The following is a 6,546-nucleotide window of genomic DNA, read 5'->3' on the forward strand; positions in this document are numbered from 1 at the left end:
GTATACAATTTTTCCCATTTGTTTCTAGTTGTCTTGCCCACTGTTAAGTTGGCAGCAACTGTTTGAGTGTCTCATTTTCCCAACACATTTGGTTTATTTCTCAAAGAAACAACAATACTACTCTTGTTGTACTCATTTTCTCAGTTTACATAATATTTATTTTTTATTTTATTTATTTTTTTTTTGAGATGGAGTCTCGCTCTGTTGCCCAGGCTGGAGTGCAGTGGTGCCATCTCTACTCACTGCAAGCTCCGCCTCTCAGGTTCACCTCATTCTCCTGCCTCAGCCTCCCAAGTAGCTGGGAGTACAGGCGCCCGCCACCACGCCCTGCTAATTTTTTTGTATTTTCAGTAGAGACCGGGTTTCACCATGTTAGCCAGGATGGTCTCGATCTCTTGACCTAGTTATCCGCCCTCCTTAGCCTCCCAATATAATATTTAATTAAATTGCATAACTACAAGAGCAAGAACAAATGGTGTAAACATATTTAGGAATGAACACAGCTTCCTCTTAGAAACTATATAATTTCTGTGATGGAAGGAGAAATGTACAGGCATTAAAAGTAGCTCAAAGGCTTTCAGTTTGCAATGGACATCAGTCAATAAGTTGTACAGGGGTACCAGAAAGTGCTAATTGTAAATCAGTTAAGTGGAGGTCAGTTAAGGCAGCATCCACTGTATCTTAATTTGTGAAGTGAATGTTCTAAAACTGGGTTCACTTTTGCTATAAAGGACCAGATGATAAATATTTTAAGCTTTGCAAACCATACGGTCTCTATAGCAACCATTCAACTCTACCATTGTAGCAGGAAAGCACCATAGATCCATGGATGTGCTCCAATAAAACTTTATTAAAACAGGCAGCTGGTCTGAGGTCCATGTATATATCTTGCTGTTTTCATACAATTTTCTAAGTTAGTAGTTTCCTGCCTTTTTAACAATCACGGATTACTTTTAATCCTCTCCTCTGATTTTATGTTTCAAAAGCCTTAAGAAAAACCCACAAAATATATTTATTTTGTAATTTTGGGGGTGGTTCTTATTTTATTAATAAGTAATCAATGATATATAAAGGCTACCCATTAGGTCAGTATGAAATAATCAACATTACTAACTCTAATGACTTAGTTCTGGATAGAAATAAAATATATTCAACTATATATACATAACTTAAAACCTGTATAGCTGTTTCTGGTGTAAATATATAACTTTTCGAGATTTTTTCAAGTATTAAATACAACTTTTGGGAATCCCCACACCTGGCTCCCTATGATGACGTTCAAGAATTCCTTAGGATTCTGGGAATCTTAGAATGAAAGTCACTGCTCTGTAGGAATGAATGAATGAATGAAAAAGAAAACGAAGGAAGAAGACAGAGCATGTCTACTAATTATAAATTAATCATCAATGAATGTTTATTTTATAAATAAATTTGTCAACTTTAGGTTGCCAAATCTAACAAGATACCAACATGGCATTCATGGTGATCACACCTCTAGTCAAATTTTATTTTAGTTCATTGACTATACTATTAATATCCTGAAATACTCAAAACTTCTGTCTCAATTCGGTGAATAATTCACTTATTAATCACCGTATACACTACTTAATGAATGGAATGGTGCTTGGAATAAAGATAATTACAGGGCTAAAAGGTTTTTCTCTGGAGGCAGGGCATAGAATTTTGTTGTCTGACTGGAATAAAACAAAATTAATCAATATTTTCTGCAACCAGTGGCTTTTGACTTAGTCGTCTATTAATATCTATCAATCACTATAATCTCAGTCCTATTTCCTCCATTTTTCTTTTTGCTATCATAAAAACTTGTCCATTTTTTTCCTGTTAGATCTATATGTTTCTCCTCTTTTCTTTTCATCCAAACAACTGGACATCAACTTAGTACACATAGTCCAATTTATCCGAACCTTACAGAACTCACTGTTTCCATTTACATAACTTACATAACTGTCAAGCTGAAATCACTCTCAAATTTTTTTAATTCAAAATTTTAATTTAATTTAATAATATTTATTTATTCATTAATTAATTTATTTTGAAAATAATTTTAACTTGTATTTTACATTCAGGGGTACATGTGCCAGTTTGTTACATGGGTATATCTCATAATGCTGAGTTTTGGGGTATGAATGATCCCATCATCCAGATGCTGATTTGGTATGATTTGACTCTGTGTCCCCACCCAAATCTCATGTTGAATTGTAATTCCCAATGTAGGGGGAATGACATGGTGGGAGGTGATTAGCTCATGAGGGCAGATTTCCCCCTTGTTGTTCTTAGATGGTAAGTGAGTTCTCATGACATCTGATGGTTTAAACATATGGCAAATCCCCCCTGGCTCACTTGCTCTCCTTCCGCCATGGTAGAACGTGCCTTGCTTCCCCCTTCACCATCTGCCATGATTATAAGTTTCCTGAAGCCTCCCAGCCATGCTTCCTGTACAGCCTGTGGAATTGTGAGTCAGTTAAACCTCTTTTCTTTATAAATTACCCAGTCTCAGGTAGTTCTCTACAGCAGTGTGAGAACAGATTAATACATGAGCATAATACCCAATAGGTAGTTTTTCAAACCTTGCCTTCCTCCTTCTCCCCTCTAGTAGTCCCGGTGTTTATTCTTTCCATCTTTATGTCCATGAGTACCCAGTGTTTAGCTCCCACTTATAAGTGGGATCATGTGGTATTTTGTTTTATGTTCCTGCATTAATTCACTTAGGATAATGGCCTCCGGCTGCATCCATGTTGTTTCAAAGGACATGATTTTGTTATTTTTATGGCTGCATAGTATTCCGTGGTGTATGAAATGGTTTGGAAGGTGGCCCCTATAAATCTCATGATGAAATGTAATCCTCAGTGTTGGAGGTGGGGCCTGGTAGGGTCATGGGGATGGATCTCTCATGGCCTGATGCCGTCCTTGTGATAGTGAATTCTTTCAAGATCTGGTTGTGTAAGGGTGTGTGGTACTTACCCCCACTCCCATTTTCTCTTGCTCCTCCTCGGACCATGTGATGTGCCTACTCCCTCTGTGCCTTCCATCATGAGTAAAAGCTCCCTGGGGCCTCCACAGGCGCCATGCAGATGCCATCACCATGCTTCCTGTACAGCCTGCAGAGATGTGAGCCAATTAAATCTCTTTTCCTTATAAATTACCCAGCCTCAGGTATTTCTTCATAGCAATGCAAGAATGGCCTAATCATACTGTGTAGATGTACCACATTTTATTGATCCAATCCACTGTCGATGGGCACCTAGGCTGACTCCATGTCTTTGCTATTGTGAATAGTGCTGCGATGAACATGCAAGTGCATATGTCTTTTTGGTAGAATAACTGATTCTCTTTGGGTTATATACCAGTAATGGAATTGTTGGCTTGAATGGTAATTCTATTTTAAATGCTTTGAGAAATTTCCAAACCGCTTTGAACAGTGGCTGAACTAATTTACATTTGCACCAATTATGTGTAAATGTTCCCCTTTCTCCACAGCCTCCCAAGATCTGTTGTTTTTCAATTTTTGAATAGTAGCTATTCTGACTGGTGTAGGATGGTATCTCGTTTTGGTTTTGATTTGCATTTCTCTGATGATTAGTGATGTTAAGACTAATCTTTGCCACCAAAAAACTAGGAAAATACAGTGTCACTTGTCAAAATAAATTGTTTTACTTTGCTTTAAAAATAATCAATTGAGTAGTATATTTCTTCCAGCAAAATTAAGAAGTAAACATTTAGAATTGTACAGTACCTTGCTGTTAAGTCTTCGCACAAGTATACCAATCGAACATAAAGGCCACCTTAAACTTTCATTTGAAATGAAAGACAATTTTTAAGAGGTTAAGGGCTAGTAATTTCTTAAAGTCCTGAAGTTAAATTAGCTCAAGTAAATGCAAAGACTTTCCTTTAATTAAAGACTTTTAAATGAACACTTTAAAGCATAGTTGGTTTCTCCCTCAAATCTTGTCCAAAGCCACTGTTTACAACTCAGCATATCAAAGAAGGCTTCAGACATGATTGTGAAGCTCCCTCAACTTACAGTGTGCTATTTGCAACCTTAGATGCTATCATTCTGGCTTTTCTAACTTTTAGCAACAATAAGCACACCCTTCTCATTTCTCCCCCACCCTGACTTACCCCTCTTTTCATTTAATATACAATTTTTCTCAGAGTGTTCTTACACATCTTTAACTGTAAATATGACAAAAGCACACAGTATAGTACATTTATCACATGTATAAATGCTGTATCTAGTCATACAATTTTCCTTTTAAAAAAGAAATATTTTATTTTCAAAAAGCAAAGACTCTAGGAATCTTTTCTAGCTGCCAGTCATAAAAACATAAATTCCTGGTTAGTTTCCCAAATTTGCCTGACCATAAGAACCACTTGTGATACTTGTCAAACACATGTATGCTGAGTCCCATCCATGATCTCCTGAATCAGAATCACCAGGTGAGAGGCCTGGGAATACACATTTTAAACAAATGTCCACAGTGATTATGATTAGTAAAGCTTGAAAAACATTTCACTAGGATCTTTATGACTGAATAACCTCACAAACATAGGAAAGTTACTGGAAAAAAATATGAGCAGAATTTCAGAATTCTGCCTTTGCTGAAAGTGTTTGTTCCCTCCTCCTCTACTCATCAAGACCTGACTGCTTATGCAACTCCCCCAAACCATCAATGGGAAGAGCTGAAAATGATTTTAATGAAGAAGAAAAGCTGATGTTTAATTTCAAAACTGACGGTTTGAATAGAAGGGAGAGGCATGAATTTATCTTGATTCTAACAGAAAGCATTGTATTTGGGTCTACAAACGAAATTGGTTTCATTTTTATTTTTTGTAAGTTTTCGCCAAACTCTGTGCATATATAGAGGCTGGGCAAGAAAGAAAGAAATCCAGAAATACGGCATATGCCATCCCTTATTTATTTCCCCATGCGACCAGCCAACAGCTTCTTCACCTAGTCCCTGCTTCAAGCTGACTTTCAGTCTACTTCTCTATCGGAAATGGAGCTTCCCCAAAGACTGCCTCAATGTCAGTTACCCAGAGGCCTTTTTTCCATCTTGGGCTCCTAAACTTCTATGATATTAAATGATACTACCCTTTCTGGAAATTCTCCTTAGCTTTGATTTCTATAATTTAACTCTGTTTCATTCCTTCTTTTATAGCCTTTCTTTTCTCTATCCCTTTACTGTAGACATATTGTACGACTTTGTTCTTGACCTTCTGATCTCTCCACATTCATTCCTTCAGAGCATGTATCCATTTTCTTGGTGTCAGGCTTCCTGACTATCTGATTATTACCATCATATAACGATGTTGGTGATGAGCATAGCTAACATATCCTAGGCATTTTCCATGTAGGTTATAATAAGCACCCTATATAACTCGTACCATTTAATTCTTCAACCCTAAATGATACTATTACTAACCACATTGTATGAGACGAGGAAACAGATTTTCATCAAAACCCTGGAAAGCCAACGTGAGGAGCCCCTGTGTGTCTCCTTTGTTAATGACTCCGGGCATCATGGCATGTGGATTGCCATGGAATGGGGATTAGGAAGCGCAGCACTGTGAAAACACCAGAAAATACGTTGATAGCGGTAAGGACGCTCATCTCTGCACATTGTGACGGTTTTGTTTCTGAGTCAGGTTTGAGATGAGCCAATCCTGACTCCATGGTGCCACCAGGGATCACGAATTTAATAAGATCTTCGTGGATGCTTGGAACCCAACTGGTCTCGGTTTTCTACTTTAGGGAAAGAGCCACAGCTTGAGTGGGGTGGTTTTGGTGTCACATACGCGATTAATAACACCCACCGCTGCAGAGGAATCACCGTGGACTACTCCTCCTTTCATCCCATGCTCTTGCGATGGATCCCTCTCACCTGTTTACTGATTTCATTCAAATTCTTCAGCGACCACAGGACCCCGACTTGCCTTCTCTATCCTGGTTCCCTCACTCTGCTTTACAGGCCTGGCCTGCTCGCTGCTCCTCACACCAGCGCTGCACGGCTCCCTCCACGCCTCCGCCCTGTTTCCTCCATCAGACAGGACTAGCTTCCTCCATCTCTGTCGGGCAAATGCCTGCCCAGCCTTCAAGACCCTCCTCAGATGCCGCCTCCACGATTAGGCTTCTTTCAGACCCCTGAGCCTGTAACACGGGCTACCATAACTCTCCACCTCAGCCCACATTCCCACAGCACTCGCGACGTCCGCGACCCTCAACATGGCGCTTCATTCTCTTTTAGGGTATTTCCTGCTTGTTTCCTGCACACACAGTCGCGCGAGGCGCAGTCCTGAGTGACCCACGCACGAGTGGCCCGCGCTTCCAGCCGCGCCGCCGCAGGCCAGCGAGGGCAGCCTGAGCCGCTTCCCGCCCCGGCGAGGACCGTCGCCAGCCCGCTGCTCTAGCAGGAGGCGGTTCCACAGCGCACCCGGCAGCCCAGCCACCGTCAGCACCGCGCCTCGGGCGGGCTTTTCTCCCTTCCGGGAGGCGCGAATCCTCAGGGGCTCCTTGAGAGGGCGCCA

At 40.3% G+C, this 6,546-nt stretch overlaps 1 long non-coding RNA gene across 2 annotated transcripts in view; it reads right to left on the reverse strand.

The window, feature by feature from the left end:
- The window catches only part of FRG1-DT (FRG1 divergent transcript), a 176,343-nt gene extending 169,824 nt beyond the window's left edge, over positions 1 to 6,519 (reverse strand). For both annotated transcript variants that reach the window (NR_149039.1, NR_149038.1), the window contains exons 1-2: positions 5,445 to 6,519; positions 2,983 to 3,119 (exon numbers count right to left, since the gene is read on the reverse strand). This is a non-coding gene — a long non-coding RNA (FRG1 divergent transcript). The remainder of the gene's footprint in view (positions 1 to 2,982; positions 3,120 to 5,444) is intronic.

This window comes from Homo sapiens, chromosome 4 (genome assembly GCF_000001405.40).
Source record: "Homo sapiens chromosome 4, GRCh38.p14 Primary Assembly".
Lineage (NCBI taxonomy): Eukaryota > Metazoa > Chordata > Mammalia > Primates > Hominidae > Homo > Homo sapiens.